General features: G+C 42.1%; 1 non-coding gene and 1 pseudogene across 2 annotated transcripts in view; both read right to left on the bottom strand.

The window, feature by feature from the left end:
• PDE4DIPP4 (PDE4DIP pseudogene 4) overlaps positions 1-19,015 on the bottom strand; it is a 66,476-nt pseudogene extending 47,461 nt beyond the window's left edge. Inside the window, exons 1-2 of the transcript NR_135813.1 lie at positions 18,874-19,015; positions 4,410-4,645 (exon numbers count right to left, since the gene is read on the bottom strand). The product of NR_135813.1 is annotated as a PDE4DIP pseudogene 4 (transcript). The remainder of the gene's footprint in view (positions 1-4,409; positions 4,646-18,873) is intronic.
• Positions 15,280-15,353, bottom strand: TRN-GTT27-1 (tRNA-Asn (anticodon GTT) 27-1). The gene has a single exon. It is a non-coding gene; the product is annotated as a tRNA-Asn (tRNA).
• Positions 19,016-22,633: the final 3,618 nt, after the last annotated feature.

Raw genomic sequence — 22,633 nt, forward strand, 5'->3', positions numbered from 1 at the left:
AGTGACTTCAAGTGGGAAAGAGAAGGGCTTCGATCTCCCTCAGGAAAGACAGTTGTGGCAAAAAGTAAAGCTGGTGCTCTCCAGAAGCATCATTCCAGAGGCCACACCTCACTGCAGGCAGTGGCAGGGATTGCAGGTAAGGGAAGCATGGGCTTGCCCTTCTGCCATCTCTTGGGGCAGTGCTGAGGTTGAAACAAGTGCCTCTGGGCAACTGAATCAAGGATGCACATAAAAGTCCCATTGGCCCCTTGGAATAGGTGATGTACATATCAAGGGAAGCTCATCTATTTACAAATTCTTAGATAGAAGTGTAATATGTGTAAGGTCTTGTCCCATCTTCAGAGGCCAGAACTCTGCTGGGTGCACAGAGCAGAAAAAGTGGAATGAGAAAAACCCTGGCTCCAGAAGCCTAGCAAAAGAGGTGCTGAGAAGGAGTGAGCACCCTTTGTGTGCAGCCCCTGACTTCTCAGGCTGCAGAGTGAAATGCTCACAACCTGAGCTTTCAGTCAGGTAGACTCAAAGTGTATGTTACCCCAAGCTGCTTTGTCTTCAGTAAGTTCCTTAACTTTGCTGAGCCTCAGTGTCCTCCACTATAAAAGCAGAACACCACTACCTATTTGAGGGGATCACTGTGTCAATTAAATGAGGAAATATATGTATAGTGGTCAATATTGTGAGCATAATAGGTGCTCAATCAATGAGAAGTTTCTGTCTTTCCTTGGCTGCTATAATCTTAGAGGAAACATTTTGCCGCTTTGCTCCTCATTGTGAAATGAGAAACAGGAATAGTACCAGATCAAAACCCATTATGGGCCGGGCATGGTGGCTCATGCCTGTAAGCCCAGCACTTTGGGAAGCTGAGGCAGTTGGATCACCTGAGGTCAGGAGTTTGAGACCAGCCTGGCCAACACGGTCAAACCCCATCTCTACTAAAAATATAAAAATTAGCCTGGCGTGGTGGCAAGCACCTGTAATCCCAGCTACTTGGGAGGCTGAGGTAGGAGAATCACTTGAACCCGGGAGGCAGAGGTTGCAGTAAGCTGAGATTGTGCCACTGCACTCTAGTCTGGGCGACAACAGCAAAACTCTGTCTCAAAAACAACAACAACAACTAAAAACCATTATGGCTCACTCATTACTTAAAATTGCCAATTTAGAAAAAAACACCAGATACAGCCAGGGACTAAAAATAATTTCTTGGTATTGTCCACATTAGGATATGATTCATACTGGCCTAAAACTTCAAACACTTTTCTCAAGAGGAAAATTAAAGAGAAAACTGAGCAGGAGAAAAATGAAAGTCTGGTTTAAAACTTAATCTCCTCTTCCCGTCTCTATCAAGGCTATCCCAAGGACCCTCTCAGGGAAATTCTCAGGAGGGACACGCTGGTTGGTGATAGACTCAGCTTGAACCTCACAGCATGGCCCCATTCACTGATGGTTTAGAGGGTGTTACAGCAAACTTATTAGGATGATGGATGGGATCTGTAAATGCATAAATGATAAAGATGATTTAGTGATGAACAAAAAATAGGAACTGTTGCTGTTTACCCCAGGGATTCCAGGATTAGGTGCACAATGTTAGCAACACTCATGTCCCTAGTTTGAAAGATGACATAATTGTGTGCAGTGAAGAGGAACTATTTGCCCCCTTTCTCCCCTTCCCAACCCATGCCCCCCAAGACCAACACCATGTATGTGCCAGAGGAGATCTAGTGACTGATGGCATGTGAGACTGGGAACGGAGAAAAGCTACCTGAAAACCTTGGGGCTTATGCTCAGCACTGAGTCCTGGAGCTGTGCCCGACCAGGTACATCACGGTGGATCTACAGGGCCCGGCTGCAAAGATGCCACCTCTTGGCCTAGACAATGCATGAGCCCCCAAAAACTGGAGCCATGTGGCTACTCACTGACTACAGTCACTGAAGGATGCACTTCCTCCTTGTCAAGCTGTGGAGACGTGCTGCTCAGGGAGTGATGTGGGGTAGACCGGGTGTGGTTGCTGCACCAGATCTGGGGCTGAGTCTGGGACCGGGCATCCCACTTGGTCTCTAGGACTTCTGTCACTTTACTCATATTATGCATCTTCCTCAAGATACTAGTGGGGTAAGAAAGAAGAAAAAATAAAGGTCACCTAATGCCACAGCTGTACTAATCTGAGGGCTCACAGGAGATGTAAAGGGGAGGTCAAGAGGATCATTCCTTCAGAGGAGAAGCCAAACAAATCATTTCTGTTTCAGGATAGAGTATGGAGGGAAGGCGGGGACAGAGAGAGCAACAGTTGTCCGGTGCATTGGCTACAAACATCCTGAGGAAAAACGAAGCCGTAATGGGCCCCTTAAATAACACTCATGATTCCTTCACAAAACACCCAGAGACCCATAAGAGTTCAACTCCAGGTATGGGCATGGCGGTACATGCCTGTAATCCCAGCAATTTGGGAGACCAAGGCAGGAGAATTGCTTGAGTCCAGGAATTCAAGACCAAACTGAGAAACATAGTGAGACCCTCTGTCTACAAAAAATAAAAATAAAAAATGAGCTGGGTGTGGTGGTGTGCACCTGTAGTCCCAACTATTTAGGAGGCTGAGGAGGATCACTTGAGCCCAGGAGGTCAAGGATGCAGTGAGCAGTGATCATGCCACTGCATTCCAGCCTGGGCAACAGAGCAAGACCTCATCTCAAAAATAAAATTTTAAAAATGTAAAAAAAAAAAAAAGAATTCAACTCATTCTGTGAACATAATTTTTAAAATAGTATTTGCCATAGGCCATTTAAAACAGATTCCCCAGGCAATGTAGCCTCACTGGTGTCTTGCAGTTTCTAGATCTCCTTCCCTAAGTATAGAGACACAGTATAAACTTTTGTTTGCAAGAAAAATTTGTAGCCGTTTTACATCTTCCAGCGCTCCTTGGGTCACCCTTGAAGAAATCAGATATAATCTTACTCTGGTCTTTAAATAAGGGAAACCAGAGGTGATCCCTGGAGGTTCAGAAGACTCCTAAGACCCAGATAGGTTAGAGCAGCTCTATGTTACTAAATTGGTGAATTAATTGGTGAAAATAAAAGAATAATATATTTTTTAAAAAATTTTAAAAATGAGACTGCCTTATCACTAAGGATACATAATGGTTTAATGGATAAATAAGCTATTTGTTTTTTACTGGCCATGTATGCTCCTGTTTCTTTGAGCTTCTGGCTCTTGTTTCTGGATCCTTCACCAGATTACATCTTCGACAGCCCCTGAAAATTTGGAGTTACCTGAGAGTCGAAGACACCTGTCCTACTTGATTCTTCTTACTTGTACAGTCATCTGAGAACAAAATTCAAAAAGGCCAGTCATGCTTTAAGCAGGTCTCATTTCCCAGACTGCAAACAAACATGGAGGTCTATCTGGGACCAGAGACTTGACTACCTGATGCTTGCCTTGATTCCAGGATACTCTGAATTTTCTCAGATCTTGGGTTGAGTCTTTAGAGAGCTTGTCTGGCAGGCTTTCCTGAGCCCACCATGAAGGTCATCATCTCCACTTGCTTTGCCCTGAGTCACAGCAAAAAGCTAAAAATGTCTTTATTCCCACATATCATGGAACACATATCCACTCCAGCCAAAGCCTCCAAGTCCTGGCACAAGGCCAGCACCCAAACCCATGGCTGTGTGTTCCACCATAGCTTTCATGCAGAACTTCCTCCCTTCTCCAAGGAGATGATAGACATCCGTGTCCCACCTACCATCAGGAGACAGCACAGTGAACTCAAGCCTTCTGCTACTATGGGCCCTTGGGTTCTCAAGGGGGAATTTCATGTAAAATGCTCCTGAAACAGCTAATTATCTCACCACCGTGTACTAGTACACACAGTGCCTGAACCATGCCAAAGTCAGCATGATTCTTTATCATTTTTTTGAAGTGCGCCGATTAATGTTACTTATTTAATCCCTAGAACAATCATGCAACATTCAAGGGCTGGAATTATTTGACTTAATTTTTTAGGTAGAGAAACAGAAATCAAAATAAATATTAACCTGTCCAGAGCTGGTAAGGAACACATATAAGCTAGAGGTAGGGTTTTTGGATTCCCAGTTCAGGGCCCTTCACAAAAACCAGCTGCCCCTGTTCCTTCTGTCTTTCTGCCAATTAGTTTCAGAGGAATACCATCATCCCTGGGGATGCCTCCTGCCCTAACAGTCATATTCCATGAGGGATGGAGGTGCTGGTGATCATCATGGCATCCTCAACCCTTCTTCTTGGAGCTCCTCTCCAGCCAGTCCTGACTCTGTCATGGTCTTAAGGTGGTGATTACAAAGCAGGACACCAGGTTGAAAAGTGACATGTGAATGGGGGTGGCATCCTGTGAACTTAGGACCTTGGGAGAGACTGAAAATCTTCCTAAGCTCTGCGGCCAACTTACCTGTGCTGAATTTTCTGGCAAGGCTCTCTGCCAGCTGGCTTCCTTTGGCCAGCTGCTCGCAGTAGTGCTGCTCCATATAGTGGTCAAAGTTATTGCTCTGGAGTAGCTCCTCAAAGGTCTTTAGTGTGTTCTTGACATGCTGGATGAGAAGAGCAGAGGCCACTCTCCCAAGCTTCATCTTCTGCCGTAGGTGGGTTAACTCTTGAGCCTGATCCTGAATCAAGGAATGATACTTCCTAAAGTAGAAAAAAAGAAGTAAAGGTAGATAGGAATAACTGATAGGTTATAGCAATTTAGGAGAAGGAACTTGAGAGTATCACCAAAGGAGGCCACACACTGAATTCTAGCATATGTTTAGTGTCCTGAATATGGTAAAAGGAATGAAGGAAATGAAAACAATCTTTATGTGAAAGATCCCTTCTAAGATTGTCATTTTCCCTGCCACTTGCTAAAGAAGAAAAATCACTTGATCATATTAATAGATGAAGAAAAAGCATTTGACAAAATTCAACACTCATTCATCATAAAATCTCTCAACAAAGTGGGAATAGAGGAGACCTTCCTCAACTTGATAAAGAACATCTATAAAAACTCTACACTAATGTCATACTAGAAACTAGAAGCTTTCTCACTAACATCAACAATAAGGCAAGAATTTCCCCGCTTACCACTTCTTTTCACCATCATACTGGAAATCCTAGCTAATGCAGTAAGATAAGCAAAGGAAATAAACGGTATACAGATTAGAAAAGATGAACTAAAACTGTCTTTGTTCACACATGATGCAGTTATCTATGTATTATAGAAAATCTCCAACATGGTGAAACCCTGTCTTTACAAAAAATACAAAAATTAGCCGGGCGTGGTGGCATGCGCTTGTAATCCAGCTACTTGGGAGGCTGAGGAAGGAGAATTGCTTGAATCCGGGAAGCAAAGGTTGCAGTGAGATGACATCGTGCCACTCTGCACTCCACCCTGAGTGACAAAGTGAGACACTGACTCAAAAAAAAAAAAAAAAAAAGGCCGGGCGCGGTGGCTCATGCCCGTAACTCCAGCACTTAGGGAGGTCGAGGTGGGCGGATCATGAGGTCAGGAGATCGAGACCATCCTGGCTAACACGGCGAAACCCCGTCTCTACTGAAAAAACAAAATAGTAGCCAGGCTACTCAGGAGGCTGAGGCAGGAGAATGGCTTGAACCCAGGAGGCGGAGCTTGCAGTGAGCCGAGATTGAGCCACTACACTCCAACCTGGGCGACACAGTGAGACTCCATCTCAAAAACAAAAAGAAAAGAAAAGAAAATCTGAAAGAATTGACAACAAAAATCTCCTGGAACTAGTAAGTGATTATGTCAAGGTAAAATCTAACAAAACATGTACAAGATCTGTATGAGGAAAACTGCAAAACTCTGTTGAGAGAGGTCAAAGAAGCACTAAATACACAGAGAGATATTCTGTGTTCATGGACAGGAAGACTAAATATTGTCAAGATGTCAGTTCTTCCCAACTTGATCTAAAGATTCAATGCAATACCAATCAAAATCTCAGCAAATAAATTTTGTGAATATCAACTAATAGATGCTAAGGTGTACATAGAGAGGCAAAAGACCCAGAATGGCCAACACAATATTGAAAAGGAACAGAGGGCTGATATGACCTGACTTCAAGACTTACTGTAAAGCTACAGTAATCAGGACAGTATAAGATTTGTGAAAGAATAGACAAATAAGTCAGCGGAACAGAATAGAGATTCCACAAGACTCCAAAATATAGCAGATTGATCTTTGACAAAGGGACAAGGGCAATACAATGGAGAAAAGATAGTATTTTCAAAAAATGGTGCTGGAACAGCGGGACATCCACATGCAAAGAAAGTGAATCTAGACACAGACTTCACATTCTTCATGAAAACTTACTCAAAATGGATCATAGGCCTAAATGTAAAACATAAAATGATAAAAAAAAAACCCTAAAAGATAACAACAGCTGAAAATCTAGATGACCTTGGGTTTGGTGATGACTTTTTATTTATTTTATTTATTGATCTAAAGATTCAATGCAATACCAATTTTAATTTAGAGACAGAGTCTCTAAATAAATTAATTATTTTATTTACTTGTTGGAGGGCATGATCATGGCTCACTGAAGCATTCCTTGGGCATGATCATGGTGTGATTATGGCTCACTGCAGCCAAACTCTTGGGCTCAAGTGATCCTCTTGCCTCAGCCTTCCAAAGTGCTGGGATTACAGGTGTGAGCCACCGAGCCCAGCTATATGATTACTTTTCAGATATAACACAAAAGGCATGATCCACAAAAGAAATAATTGATAATCTGGACTTCATTAAAATTAAAAACTTCTGCTCTGCAAAAGGCACATCAAGAGAATGAGAAGACAACACACTGGGAGAAAATATTTGCAAAAGATATATCTGGTAAAGGACTATTAAGCCAAATACACAAAGAACTCTTAAACTCAACAATAAGAAAATGAACCACACAATAAAAAATGGGCAAAAAACCCTGAACAGACACCTCACCAAAGATGATGGCAAATAAGAATATGAAAAGATGCTCAACATCATATGTCATTAGGGAATTGCAAATTAAAACAACAAGATACCACTCTACACCTATTAGAATGGCAAAATCCAGAACACTGATAACACCAAATGCTGGTAAGGATGTGGAACAACAGATATTCTCATTCCTTGCCGGTGGGAATGCAAAATAGTACAGCCACTTTGGAAGACAGTTTGGCATTTTCTTGTGAAACTAAACATACTCTTACCAAATGACCTAACCATCTGCTCCTCAGTATTTTCCCAAGCGAGCTGAAAACTTAAGTTTACACAAAAACCTGCACATGATGTTTATAGCAGCTCTATTCATAACTGCAAAAACTTGGAAGCAACCAAGATGTCCTTCAGTAGGTGAATGGATAAATTTTGATACATGCAGTCAATGGAATATTATTTGGTACTAAAAAGAAATGAGTTATGAAGCCATGAAAAGACATGAAAGAACCTTAAGTGTGTAAGTGAAAGAAGCCAACCTAAAAAAGCTACATACTGTATGACTCTGACTATATGACACTATGGAATAGGTAAAACAGTGGAGAGAGTAAAAAGATCAGTGGTTGCCAGGTGTTAGGAGGAAAAGGAGAATGAATAGGCAGAGCACAGAGAATTTTTAGGGCAGGGAATAGTCATTCTTTATTACAATGGTGGATACATGCCATTATACATTTATACTTGTGTCAAAACCTATAGAATATACACCACCAAGAATGAACCCCACTGTAAACTGTGGACTTTGGGTGATGATGAGTCAATGTGGGTTCATCAGTTGTACCAAATGTTATCACTCGGGGGCAAGATGTTGATAGTGAGGGAGGCTGTGTCCTTGCAGGGGTAGGGGGCATATGGGAACTCTCTGTTACTTTCCACTCAATTTTGCTGTGAACTTAAAGCTGCTCTTAAAAAGTCCATTAAAAAAAAGAATGATCACAGAAGTATAATTTTTAAAAATATATTTGATGAAGTGGGTGTAGTGTAGCCTTTGTGAATCGAGAGCACAGGATTCTAATGTTATCTCTGCCAGAGGCTATTATGCAACTTTGATCAAATGACTATCTCTTAGGGCCTAAGTGTTCTCAGTTCTAAAATGAGGTAATGAGACTAACTGACTCTAGAGTTTTTTGGGTGTTTTGTTTTGTTTTGTTTTGTTTTGTTTTGTTTTGTTTTGTCTGAGATGGAATCTTGCTCTGTCATCCAGGCTGAAGTGCAGCGGCGCTATCTCGGCTCACTGCAATCTCCACCTCCCGGGTTCAAGCAATTCTCCTGCCTCAGCCTCCCAAGTAGCTGGGATTACAGGTGCCCACCACCATGCCCAGCTAATTTTTGTATTTTTAGTAGAGACGGGGTTTCACCATGTTGGCCAGGCTGTCTCCAATTCCTGACCTCAAGTGATCTGCCCACCTCAGCCTCCCAAAGTGCTGAGATTACAGGCGTGAGCCACTGTGCCTGGCCTAGCGTTATTTTAGCCCTAACTAACATTATTCTCTGGGTCAGTGAAACTTAAGTGGAATATATTGGGCAGTGACCTAATGGAGCATGAAGCAGGATTTGAATCACTTCCAAAGCTGTACACCAACCACTTAGGCAAAGTAGTGATTTCAGTAACTTAGTATTTCAGTAACTGGTGCTCACAGGCAAATGCGTAATGGATTAACCCCATATTATTTAAATGCTTCCAAAAAGCTATAGGAAAATGGCCATTAAAAACAAACTGACAAATTTAGCCAACAGGCCACTATTTGACAATTCTGCAAGCTTATTTTTAAAATTCAGCTTATCAAAACTGCCATTCCAGAAGCCAGGGACCTGAGTTTCCATAGAGGATGGAGTAGAATGGAGGGGCCTCTGTATAAATCTACCTCCTCGGGAACTGGGACAGTTCAGCATTCACCAGAGTAACGTATGAAGAAACAGGAGATTCCTACATGCTCCTGGGGATCCAGAAGAGAGACCACTCACATGACTGGAAGATTTCCAGCTCAGGTAACCACAAAGGCCATATATTTGGTGAATACAGGCAATGTTAGTTAGAATAAAACCAAATTTCTCTGAATAATATAAAGTCATTACTAATAAAACTTTTATAGATTTTTCTCTGAAGAAATTTCCAGGAAGGTGTTAAGAGAAAGCCCTACAATTAAGGTATGGAGGCTGGCTGCAGGCCCTGAAAGCTACTCTGATGAGCAATGACTTAATGCTGATAGTGGGAAGTCTCTTGCCCACTGCAGGATACAGAGAATTCTTCCTCAACCCGAGGCTTCTGCTCATTCACTCCCTTCTCAGCAGGTCCCTTCTTCTCTGAGGGCTGATGCATCCCAGCCTTCTGCTGGGACATTTTCTCATGAAGAGCTCTCTTACAGCCGTCTTTGAAAGGAAGGACAGAGAAGAAAGATGTCTATGTCTTCACAATGGCCAGGCTTTTCTCCAAAACTACCTAAAGCAATTGAAACAAAATTATGGCTTACAGAGGTTAGATTATTAGTGGAGATCCTGTAGGACGATAGAATCTCAAGAGCAGAGCCTACCAGGAAGTAGAGTGAAGCCTACAACTTCCTCAGCCATGAGGACCCAACAATCCACTGGGTAAAAGAAAGATGCAGCAAGTGCTGGGGTGGGGTCAGGGTGGGTGCTGTTATGAGAAGGAAGGGGAGGTCCCACAGGTGTTTAGAAGAAAAAACAGGCAATAAATGAATGAAAACAAATGGGGTTTAAACTAAGCTAAGGGATGAGTATTTTTGTTTCTTATAGCTGAGATAAGGTTCTTATGAAGTTCCCAGGGAATGTCCCTTCAGAGGTCAGGAAGCATTTTGCTTCCACAAGTTTTGAGAGTCATGAAGGCAGGAACACATTTTGAGATGCCAGAGCTCAAATCCCATGTCACTGGGACATCAACAATAGTGCTATGGGGAAGACTCAGGGTGCCAGCTCTTGAGTCACAATCACAGAATTAGAATGTGGAAGTAGCTACAGAACCCAAGGAAGCCCTGCCTTCTGATAGCTACACTCAATGCAAGGCTGCGTATTTCACCCTGGAGGTCTCTAACAGGGGAGGCCACCCCCTCAATAGCCAGCTTTTTTACCCTTTTGCTTACGTTGTCAACCAATTTCTAAGCACAGCAAAATAACCTAAGTATACCTCTCCTTGAAAACATCAAAACATTTTCTCAGCAGCTTTTATTTTCTTGAAGACAATTTCAGTAAAAACAATTCTTGTGGCTTTTCCTAAATGAATTTTTTTTTAACTTCTAGTGATTCTTACTCTTCGTTTTTAGGAACTCTCCAGGTTTTCACTTCCTACATTCTTTCAAGAGTATAGTGACTAAAACTGGAGAATAATCATTTAAGTCTGACTAATAAATTTAGCCTCATGTTGTATTACTTTTTAATACATAATAAATAATATATCCCAATGCGATACTTGCTTCCTTTCCCTTGCAGTAGCAACGTGTAGGGGTTTCATTTAATATGAGGTCGATTTGAGCCTTCCAAACTCCCATTCCACCCACCTTTGCTTGCACTCATGGGAAGGCTCAGTCTATATCTGGTTTGCCCACATTCCTAGGCTACAGACCTCTAGGACTCCCAATTTGAGAGGCGCCATTTTTTTGGAGGGTAGTGAATTTTGATTTCTGTCTCCTTTGCATCCTTCCCAATGAAAACTGCTTTCAGCCACTCTCTGCTAGCCTCTCACCAGCACAGAGCTCAATTCACAAATGCCTTGAGGGGAAAACCTTTACCAAGTGTTCAGTTCACATCTCAATTCATTCTAGAATCTTGGCTTTTCAAGTCAAAATACCTGGACAGCTCCACACGTCTACCCACTCCCCACCCCCATGAGGTTACTTAAAGTGCTGCTGTTTTCTCTGGTTTTTAACCACTGCCCTCTCCCCAGCTTCTCAGCCTCTTGTCCCTTGCCAAGAACTAGCAAATACCCTGAGGGGGAAAAATTGTTTCATTCCAATGATCTTCTTTCTCTCCCTCTCTCTCTCCACCCGCTTTCTGTAGCTGGCCCTGTGGGTCCTAGCTTTTCAAAGACTTCAAACAGAATTCCTTTAAACCAGATTTTATCTACTTCTTTTCGAAGGGAGTGCTGGTTTGCCACAAAACTCCATCGTAACTGAAAGAGGAAATCTTCTACAAATTCCAGGTAAATCAAATTTTCCTACCTTGATTTCTGAAGAAAACAAAAAAAAGAGAAGAGGCCATTGGTAGTATATACTTGCATTTTTCTTGTAATACTTGCGTAAGTCTGAATGGGTATTAAAGGCTCTTGCTAGAATCATGTGCCAAAGATTGTCTACCATGACCTAAACAATCAGGCCTGTCCAAGGTCCAAGAATTTGATCAGGTTGGATCCAGTCCTCTGGTGCACTAACAGAGATCCTGTTGGAGGATAGAATCCTGCTGTAGGATTCTACGTCTGTACTTTGAGTAGACACTTCAAGTAACCAGTTTTTCAGACACCTGGCCACTAATATGGGGAGAAGAGTTCAAAAAAACCATTGAATATTTCTAATTTATTGTAGGGAATGTTAAAATTTCTCACTGGTACAGTTAGAAATGAAAACAAAGACAATAATAATAGTAATAATAATAATAACTGTTTCAAGAGCATTATTATGTGACTGGCATTGTTTCTAAGTGCTTTACTGTGTAGTAACCTATTTAGTCCACATAACGACCCTACAAGATAGTGTTGATTTTTTTGTTTGGTTGTTGTTGTTGTTGTTGTTGTTGTTGTTGTTGTTTGAGATGGAGTCTCTCTCTGTCATCCAGGCTGGAGTGCAGTGGTGTGATCTCAGCTCACTGCAACCTCTGCCTCCCGGGTTCAAGCGATTCTCCTGCCTCAGCCTCCTGAACAGCTGGATCACAGGCCCCACAACCATGCCCAGCTAATTATTGCATTTTTAGTAGAGGCAGGGTGGTTTTACCATGTCAGTCAGGCTGGTCTCAAACTCCCGATCTCAGGTGATCCACCTACCTTGGCCTCCCAAAGTGCTGGAATTCCAGGCTGAGCCACCCCGCGCAGCCGATAGTGTTGATTATTACAACCCCTTGTTGCAGATGAGAACATTGCACTGAAAGGCTGAGCTTACCTTTCCAAGGTCCCATCATCTCTATGAGAGTGAGAGCCAGGACTCATCCAGACCCTCGCTCTGAGCCATTAGGCTTGGTGGTAACTAAGAAGATCTCACTAAGATGTGCATTCCCTCCTTCTTGCTCAATCTCCAAGATTTCAAGGACAAAATGGAAATTAAAAGTAAGGCCTACAAGATGGCTATTATTTTAAAAAGAAGGAAAGAAAATTATCAGTGTTGGTGATGATGTGGAAAAATTGAAACCCCTGTGCACTGTTGTTTGGAATCTATTAGGTTGGTGCAAAAGTAACTGCGGTTTTTGTCATTACTTTTAATGGCAAAAATCGCAATTACTTTTGCACCAACCTAATAAAATGGTACAGCCACTGTGGAAACCCATATGGTGGTTCCTCAAAATATTAAAAATAATTATCACATGATCCAACAAATTTACTTCTGGATATATACTCAAAAGAACTGAAAGCAAGGATTCAAAGAGATATTTGTGCACCTGCATCAATAGCAGTATTACAATAACTAAAGAAGGGAAACAACCCAAGTGTCCAACAACAGGTAAATGAATAAACAAAATGTGGCAAATACATGCAGTGGAATATTATTCAGCCTTAAAAAAGAAAAGAAATTCTGACACATGCTACAACATAGATGAACATGAGGATATTATGCAAAGTGAAATAAACCAGTCACAAAAGGAAAAATACTATATAATTCTGCTTATATGAAGTACCTAGAGTAGTCAAAGTCATAGAGACAGGAAATAATGGCGGTTGTGCCAGGGGCTAGGGAGGGAAGAATGGGAAATTAATGGGTATAGGGTTTAGGAACTTTAGTCTAAGAAAGGAGAATATTGGATGCCAGAAATTCAGTTTTCTTTCTGTTCCAAGATCCCTTTAGCTAGAGCGACATATTGAAGTCAGAGTTCCTAAGGGAAAATCATTGTGTATGGAGATCATCCTTGTGGATCAAATGTGAATCAATAGTAGATCAAAAGATATTCCACTTTTGCAGATATTGACATTTGTTGGACCCGTAAGATTTTATCTAGTATTAGATAGATAAGATGTGAACCACTTCTCAACGCTGCAGACTCAAATACTAGGAAATACTAAGAACCTCAGGACAAACAAATAGCCAGTCCAAAAAGACTCACAGACTAGATAAGCTGTCATCTACCACCTAACAGATAATGTATCCCTGTTAACCACTATCTCCAGATGTTCATTTCATAAAATCAAAAACAGAATTCCATGTGGATCATGGAAAAAAATAGTTGACAATGTACAAATGAGAGAAAAAATACTTGTCCAAGAATTACATTTAGTGTCTAAAAGCCAAATAGCTCAATTTCTGCTCATGAGATTCAACAGATGAACTGAGGGAACATATGCCGATAGCTCTGAGATTACAGGTCCGCATGGGATGCCCATAAGGTGCAGGATTCTATTAGCTAAGATTATATGTCTCAGGTGGGCAAATCTTTGTGGACATAGCAAGAAAAAAGAAAAACTGTCAAGGAATAATACAGAGACAGTGTGATGGTTAATTTTATGTGTTAACTTGGCTAGACCACAGTGCCCAGGTATGTGGTCAAATATAATTCTGGAGGTTTCTGAGAAAGGGTATTTTGGATGAGAGTAACATTTGCATTAGTAGACTTTGAGTAGAGCAGGTTGCCCCATGTCATGTGGGTGGACCTCATCCAATCAGTGGAAGGCCTGAATGGAATGAGATTGACCTTCCTGGAAGAAGAGGAAATTCTACCAACAGAATATCTTAGGACTCAAATAACAACTCTTCCCTGGGTCTCCAGCCTGCCTGCCTTGAACTTTCACAATCATGTGAGCTAATTCCTTAAAATAAATCAATAAAAATAGATGATAGATGGATGATTCTGTTTCTCTGGAGAACCTTGACTAATACAGATAGCATACTAATTCACCCTTGCCATTTATAGAGGAAAGAGTGGAGTAATAAATATCAGAATATCTTCTCCAGACTGGTCACCACAGAAACAAATTGTAGCTGTACAAAATATCTTGGAAGTTTAGCTGAAGAGATGAGGAGATACTCTACTGCTCAATGTGCGCCATGTCATCTGTTGTACCTCCCCTTAGTTAAGTCAGGAGGGCAACACTCCCTTTATTTTTTATTTTATTTTGTACGTATGTGTGTGTGAGATGGAGTCTCGCTCTGTGGCCCAGGCTGGAGTACAGTGGCGTGATCTTGGCTCACTGCAACCCTGCTTCCCAGGTTCAAGTGATTCTTGTGCTTCAGCCTCCCGAGTAGCTAAGATTACAGGCACAGGTCACCACCTGTGGTAATTTTTGTGTTTTTAGTAGAGATGGGGCTTTGCTATTTTGGCCAGACTGGTCTCGAACTCCTGACCTCAGGTGATCCGCCCACCTCGGCCTTCCAAAGTGCTGGGATTACAGGTGTGAGCCACAGCTCTCGGCCCCTCTATTTATCAGACAGATGTATAGAAAGTTTATTGTGCTAGCAACAGTATGAAGAAAAGGATTCTCTGAGTTGAAAAAACAAATTGGAATATAAATTGGTACCACTTCTATGGAAGGCAAATTTACAGGGCTTATTAATTAAAATAAAAAATGTGTACTGTAACCACTATGATACAGCAGTTGCGCTTCCAGAACTCTACCCTATAGAAATCCGTGTACAAATAGCAAAAGATATTTGTACAAGAATGATGACTGCAGCATTATTTGTAATCGTAAATTCATGGAACAAACTTAATTTAAAAAACAACATGTAAAGGGTTAGATGATGGAATAAACAAAAGAAGAAATGCCTTCATCAAAAATAATGCAGAGGATAATAATAATCTTGAGTCTACTGATAACATTATTGATCGAGCAATTATTAAATCTAGGCACATCCTGCAAATGCGATATTATTACCATCCTCATATTACAGTTGAAAAAATATTGAGGTACAAATAGCTTGTCAATAGCCCAAAGGCACAAAGAGAAGCAAGATTTCACCCAGAACCCGTGAACAGATCACACAAAATTTCTCTTGTTCCCTGGTCCAAGGAACTTCTGTACCTTCCAACTACATTTCTTTCCAACAGAGACCTTCTTGGAGGATGAGAAGCAGCCACTAGTTGACAGGAGGGGAAGTGAGGCATGTAGTCTTCAAGGGAGCAGACCACCGTGGGAGTTATAAAAGATCAGCGACGCCTCTGGGTGGGTTCAAACCACCAACCTTTTAGTTAACAGCCAAAAGCGCTAGCCGATTGCGCCACAGAGACATGGCTGAGCTCCTAATTTCGTTCTAAAAGAGGGTAAGCTGTCACTAAACGCTAGCTAGCACTATCCGCCTTTTGCAAAATGACTGGGTAATCTCCAAAGCCTCGGAAAGCCGGAGCAGTCAGAGCGACGAATCTACTTGTTTGTCAAGCTTGAAACCTGTGCACTGAGTGATTCCGAAACACCCCGCACCCCGCCTTGCCCCCTCACCTGCCTCAGAAGCCGGCGCTTCCGGAGATGCCGGGATCGCGACTCCTGTTAGAGCGACTTGGGCCCCAGGGAAGCTGAAACGCCCAGGGCGCTCAATTAGGACTTGTTGAATTAATAATACATTTGAGAGACAGAATATACAATCGAACAATGGCCGGACTGTACGTAAAAATATAACTCTGATCCACAACCTGGGGCCACCTGCCCAAGAAATCAACTTCCTTATCTACGAATAAACAACCGGGGAAGCCAGCCTGCTATTATATAAGTCAGACTCACAGGGAGCCAGGCAGTTATCTGTAGTAACAAACAATAACATCCATAACAATCGGCTCCAAATGGCAAGAGCTTGGTTAGTAACTGACACTTTCCCTAATTTATGTTCCCACTTGCAACTTAGGACCAACCAGGGAAAGCCAAATATGCACCCCTAACCAAGCACACTGGATGTCCCCCTTCTAGTTAGCCCACAGGCAGCTTCCCCACACCAGCAGTCTCCAATCAGGGCACACCTGAAGCCTTCCCTTTCCTCAGCTATAAAGCTGTCCCACTCCTCTACCTGCCTTCTAAGCTCTGTCAAAATGCAAGTGCCGGTGGCTGATGCCGGTGGCTGACGCCCTTGCGTCAGAATAAATAACCATTGCTTTTTTCATTTGATGGGCCTTCGTTTTCACACTTTGTCATCTTTAAGCTTTTAGCCCTTTGAAGGATTCTGAGACTGGAAAATAAATGAAAGGATTTTTCAAAGGGGGAAGTTCTTTTTTTAAAGGCTTTATTCTGGTCAATTGATTTCCAAGTGTGCAATGTCCCATGGGGTAGGCCACAAAGAGGCCTAGAGTGCACCATCTGTGCGGCTGCAGCTCCTGGCTCTCAACAGAACTGAGATCTAAGTCCTCATGATCTGATCAGCTTCCGAGGGCCTAAACCTCCTATTACCACCAACTTGGGGATTAGGAGTTCAACAAATAAATTTGGTGAGGGGACGCAGACACACAAACATTCAGACCATAGCAATGCATAAAGGTAGCTCATCACTGAAGTTTTAATTTGTGTTTCCCTAACGAGTAATGATTTTGAACATTTTTCTTATGTCTTTTGGGGTCAGTGGGCAAGATCAGGAAAGGGGCAGGGACCAAAGGAGACATGAAGAGGGAAACAGCAGGGACAATGACACCTCCCAGGAGACTTGTGCAGAGGCAAAGGCTGGATCCTGAGAGATGAGAATTATTTTTGTCATGTATTTGAATGAGAAGAAATAGAAAAAGGACATGAAAGAGAAAAAACACAAGAACTTGTAGCTATCCAAGAACAAAACAGGAAAATATCGTGGATATTTTTGCATCAAAAATATTAAAAGCAGCCCACTGGCAACCCCAGGTTTATGGTGCACCATGATGATATAACAGTTAGTGCTCTTCATTGTGACCGAAGCAACCTTGGCTGGAATTGGAGCCACAGTAGCATCTGGCTTCCTTCTTGGCAAGATTTGGTATGTGTTACAGTTTCACTTTTTAAATCCCCTTACCAACTGCACCCAGTAGCTGTGGTCAGAGAGCAGAGTTTACTGTGTCTCCCTGTGACGCAGTCAGGACAAGAGAAGGAAACCCCTACAGTGCACTAACCTACGGCAGAATCTTTGGGGAAGGTTAGAAGGGACCGTGTGTCTGAGCATGTGCAGGAACCATCTCAAAAGGTAAAGCCCTGTCTCTTCAGGAGCCTTGTCTGTAGCTTCAACTGACGTAATGGTGTGGTAATAACCATTTTTCTGGCTGAGATATTTCAAAGGTCAGTAAGGCCTTTTTAGATGCAATGGCAATGAGCTTTGTACGAGTTCTCATTCAACAGGGTATTTTACAATAAAATCTGATCATATAAAACCCAATAAATGTAATAGAACCTAAACTTGATGCCATCCTCCACCTCCCCCACCTAATTATTTGGCGGGGGAATGGGAGCGCTAATAGTACATTATTGAAGTATAATTCACATAGAGTAACATGCACAAATCTTAAGGGCATAGAAACGTAACCATCGCCTAGATCAAGTTATAGAAAATTTCCATCAGCCCAGAAAGGTCAATAACCTCCTTTAGATTCCCATCCACCTTCCTTTCACTTAGACAAACCATTCTGATTTCTATCTTCACAGACAAATGTTGACTGCTTCTGAAATTCACATAAATGAATATACTTTTTTGTGTCTGACTTCTAATTTCCTGCAGCATAATGTTTTTGAGATGCATCCATGTTTTTAGTATATTATTTTGGTGTTATTGATGACTGTTATTTCTGTGTGGATGACTGGGTTATTTCCAATTCTGGCTCTCGTGAACAAAGCTGCTATATTCTAGTACAATTCTTTTTGTAGACATATGCACCCATTTCCTTTGCTAAGACTTTAAAGTATTCTTTCTTCAAGTTAAGGGCAGTTTTTAAATAGTTATCAGTTGCATTCTTGGAATTCACAGAAAGCTTGGGGAGAAACAATCCGACGGCACAAGTTCAAGTGCCCAACGGGGTGGAGAAGGGACTGCATACTCACTGGTTGCCAGGCCGAGGTTGTCCGCCTTGCCTGCTTTGGCTGAGACTGGAGACGGAAACTCCATTCAACAGCGACTGGAGGACTGAAACAGGGCGCAAGAGGGCGGCTGCCCTTCACCTACTGGTCCCTCCCTGCCTTGGCGCCTTCGGAGTTCGGACTGACCCGGGATGTTGCCGGAGCCGGCAGGAACTGCAAACTCACCGCGCGCGTCCCTGCACACCCGCACCTGCGCCTCGAGAACTCCTGGCCAGTTGAATACCCGGTCTGCCGCCGAGCTTCGCTGCAGGTCACAGGAAAGGGGTGCAGGGTTGCGTACCCGGCGGGAGAAGCCGCGCGGAGAGGACCAGGTGCTGCTACTGGCCTCCGAGAAGACAGGCCTAGAGTAGCTGATTTTGACCTGCAGGGCCAAAGTCTAACGGCGGCCTAAAACCCTAACGTCTGGGCCAGCCGCGGGTAGCTAGTTGAAGCGATCTCTATGCCTTGCTTGTCGTTTGCCAAAATTCAGACCAAGAAAGAGAATAGTTGTGTGGATCAAAGTCTGCAATTAACCAGAAAAGAAACATAATCCTGTGTTAGCTTACTTAGGAAAAAAGGAAGAAGGAAGGAAAGAAGGAAGGAAGGGAGGAAAGGATGGAGGGAGGGAAGAAAGATGAAAAAATCAACCAAAAAAAGAACATAATTTCCTAACTAATCGGATGTGGGTCATGAGAGAAAGACCTGCGTCGAGTTTTTGGCCTGAACGTGTGGAGGGTGGAGTTGCCATTAACTAACCTGGGAAAAGGCAGGTGTACTACGTTGTAGAGAAAATATCCGGAATTCCGTTCAGGGCCCTGGGGTCTTCCTTGAAAGAGTTTTCCATCCAGGCCGTCTCGGTTTCCGCATCCGTCTGAGTCGTTTATGATGTCGGGAATGCAGGAATCTGAGTCCTTTATGATGTTGAGGGTGCCACGGTCTCACCCCGGGCGCCTCCCCGCTCCAGCCTCCTCCCGGAAACCTGGTGCGCTCTGGCCCCGCCGACCAGGGACAGTCTCTCCACGCGCTGCCGCCTAGCAAAGGCGCATCTTTAGGTCGGTAGTGAGGTGCGGCCGGGACGCTGCAACTCGCTCCGGGACTTGTAAACCTGGCAGGTGTTCGAGGAGCGCCACTGGCTGGAAGGAAAGGAGAGAGCTCTGCACGTCGCGTGTGGGCTCGCAACTTGGAGAAAGCAGGGAGAGGACAGTCTTTTGGGACTATTCCTTGGATGGGCAGGTGGCACCAGGAAGGGTAGATGGAGCTTTCTAGAGGTCAATGTCAGCGTAATTTCTGCTGAAACAATTGAAGGAGGAAAAAAAAAAAGTATGTGCTTTGTGGTTCCCTGGTAGTCTAGTGGCTAAAGTTTGGCGCTCTCACCGCCGGGACTGGTTGATTCCAGATCAGGGCACTGGGTCTCGGCCTCACTGTGAGGTATTGTTCTTTCCTGTGTTTGCCATCTACCACCGCTGTGGCTCAATTATTTCAAGACTGCTGGAGAAATGGAATTAATGTCGATCCTAAAATTTAAGCTATTTATCTAGGATAAATTCCAAATAGTGGAACTGCTAGGTGAAATTTATTGTGAATTTAAGATTCCGATATATACAGCCCTACAACGTATAAGCACCAATTACATTCCCCAAAGTGTGTGAGACTGCGTCTTTTCCCCAGAATTTAAAACCAATGCTAGAAATTATCAGTCTTTTAGAGATAATTTTAAGCTTATTTATCATCAAAGGATTTCTTCATAGTCAATTTCCCCTTAGACTATAAATCCGCAAGAGATGGCAAAGCTGGAAGAACTGCCTAGAATTTCAGCAAACTTGAATTCAATAGTCTCTCTGTTTTTTCCTGTTTTGGCACCTACCCTTTTCTTCCAGTTAAGATTGGACACAATAGAAAAATAATTAATAAATGTAATAAAAATGTAAGCCTGGACGTTTTGCTCACAGTGTTCTCACTGGGTCTAAATTTTGTGAATGTGGTTCCTTGGATGGTCTCATGGGTATGCTTGAGACTTTAGGCCCTTGGGACACCTGGTGCACAGAAGGGTCCCAAAACCCATCTTTGGAAGTGTTGGCAGAGTAAATAGGCACCAGTAATAAAGGCAACGGCGCCTGAAGACCTAAGGCTGGTTTAAACCAAAGCAGATTTTTCAAAACCAGAGAGGGCTTGTGTTCATAATTTAATAATTTAATTTTTATTTTGATGAAATTTAAATTTGATTTAAATTTTCATAATTTAATTTTCATTTTGATGGCCACTTTATTTTGACAAAGACACTAGTGGAGGAAAGTCTCTTTATCGTATCATCAATTTCCCTATAAATCTTTGTCTCAGAAAAATTTAATAATAATTTCATAATAAATTATAATAAATAATGTTTCACATCTTACATTATTCACTTTTGATTTAGTTGGCTTGTGCTGTCAATATGCTGCCCACTGTATAACACTACCTGATGAATTACATTCAACTATGTAGTAATACATATTACTACATATACACACACACGTATACATGTGTATATACATATACACATGTATACGTGTGTGGGTATATATGTATATATAACCATATATAATTTCAAAAGGTAAATTAAATATAATGGGACAGTGTTGGTAACCTCTTAGATAGTGTAGGGATAAGATAGCTGAATTTATGGCATGGTGTTGTATACTTCAGATATCTATGCTGTAATATTAAAATGGCATTTCCTTGGCCCACTAAATTGTCCATTTCCTGGCCCAATATGATACACGAAAGGAGTGAAAATGGGAAGAAAATAGCCTTCTGAAGGACTTGCCTAATAAACTTCTCCCTTAGCATTACTTGGAGTGACATCAGAAAATTGGAATGAAGTAATTGTGTAAAAAAGACAAATTCTCTGCTGTCTTTCTCCCCCAATCCTTAATAAACAAAGGAGGAAACCTAGACTCAGGTTAGGTTTTCTCTTCTTATTCTTTACATACCAGGACAAGTACTGAGCTTGTTTGTTACTATATGGGGACTTAGTATATTGTACAAAGGGGTGTGGCTATTACTGTCCCTTTTCTACCAGAGCATCAAAACTGGTAACTTGGCTGGTGTTAAGGGGAGCTTCTAACCTTGAATTCCCACTCCATGTGACTTCTTTCTGGTTCTCTCTTCTCAGAGAACTTGCAGCCATCAGATTCATTTGGAGAAGTTTGATAAAGGTTACTTTATGCTTAGACAGAAGAAAAAACCCTAAGGTCTTGAACTAAGCCTTATCCTCTGATACAGTTTACTGGAATTCCCTCCACTGTGGCACAAGCCCTGCCGTAAATTGTGATTATCTATACCTTGTCAGTTTTATCTGTGTATATATCTTTTACAGTAATCCCCACATCCACCAGAGAACCTAGGTTATTGGCAGAATGAGGTTTGGGAATTTTGGTCCTCTGGCCAGACACTATCAGTTAGTACTCTGATTCCACCATTTTTGAAATTATATACAACAAATTTTAAGTATTGTTTATTTTGGAGAGTTCAGGTTAAAGGAAATGAAGACTATTATTCAGTATTATTTCTGTAATTTTGTAATTTTAACCATAACATAGGTTTCTTATCAAAACGTATGGAAGCCAGAAAGCAGTGAAGCAACAATATTTTCTCCAAAACAAACAGGACAAACTTTGGCAGGAGTGACAAATCTGGCATGCAATGGTGGCTTCTATATCAGAAATCAAGTCTTTTACTTTGTGAGAGGCAGGAGTTTTTAGTTCTTTGTCTTCCTTTTGGCTGCCAGAGGAATTGAACATTGTGAATTCATTGGCATAGTCCCAAGAAACTTTACTTGGCAAGCAAGCTATTGATTTTGGCGGGGGTGGGATGGTGTTTATCAGTCACCCCTACTAGCAGAGATGTGATAACACTGCAGTCAGAGTAGTTGAGTTTTAAAATTTTGACTTGCCAACCAACAGAACATTATTTATGTGGTAAAACTTAGACATCAGAGGCTACAGGCACTCAGGCTAAATTCTGACCCATTCATTGGTGACAAATGTTAAGGGATTTTTGCCCCATTAGCCCTTTTTTTACTCATGATGGTACTCTGAACAGAAGAATCTCCTCTAACAATTTAAGACCATTCATTGTATAAGCATGTAAATCATCAATCTCAATGACACATTTTCACAACTATACACTGAATTGGCTCAGAGGCTTCACTCATAACTTTAACTTTTTTTCCCTCTTTACTACAAATTTTACCCAAACTCTGTCAGTTGAATTCACACTCTACAGGAACACATATCAAGAAGTTTAACACATGCACTTTAGTTACAGCAACACCTGCCAGGAGAATATCTTACCTCCTTGACTGAGAGTTCAAGGAGTGCAGGGAGATGTGACCAGCCATCAAGAAGCAGTAGAGAGACTTCTTTCCTTAAAGTACCTGAGTCAGGTTGAGGGGAAGAGAAGAATTAGGAGCACAAAGAGAGCAGGCACACAACAGGAAGCACAACTCTGCAATTGCTTTTGGTTTTAAGAGGCTGTC

This window comes from Homo sapiens, chromosome 1 (assembly GCF_000001405.40).
Source record: "Homo sapiens chromosome 1, GRCh38.p14 Primary Assembly".
NCBI classification, from domain to species: Eukaryota; Metazoa; Chordata; class Mammalia; order Primates; family Hominidae; genus Homo; species Homo sapiens.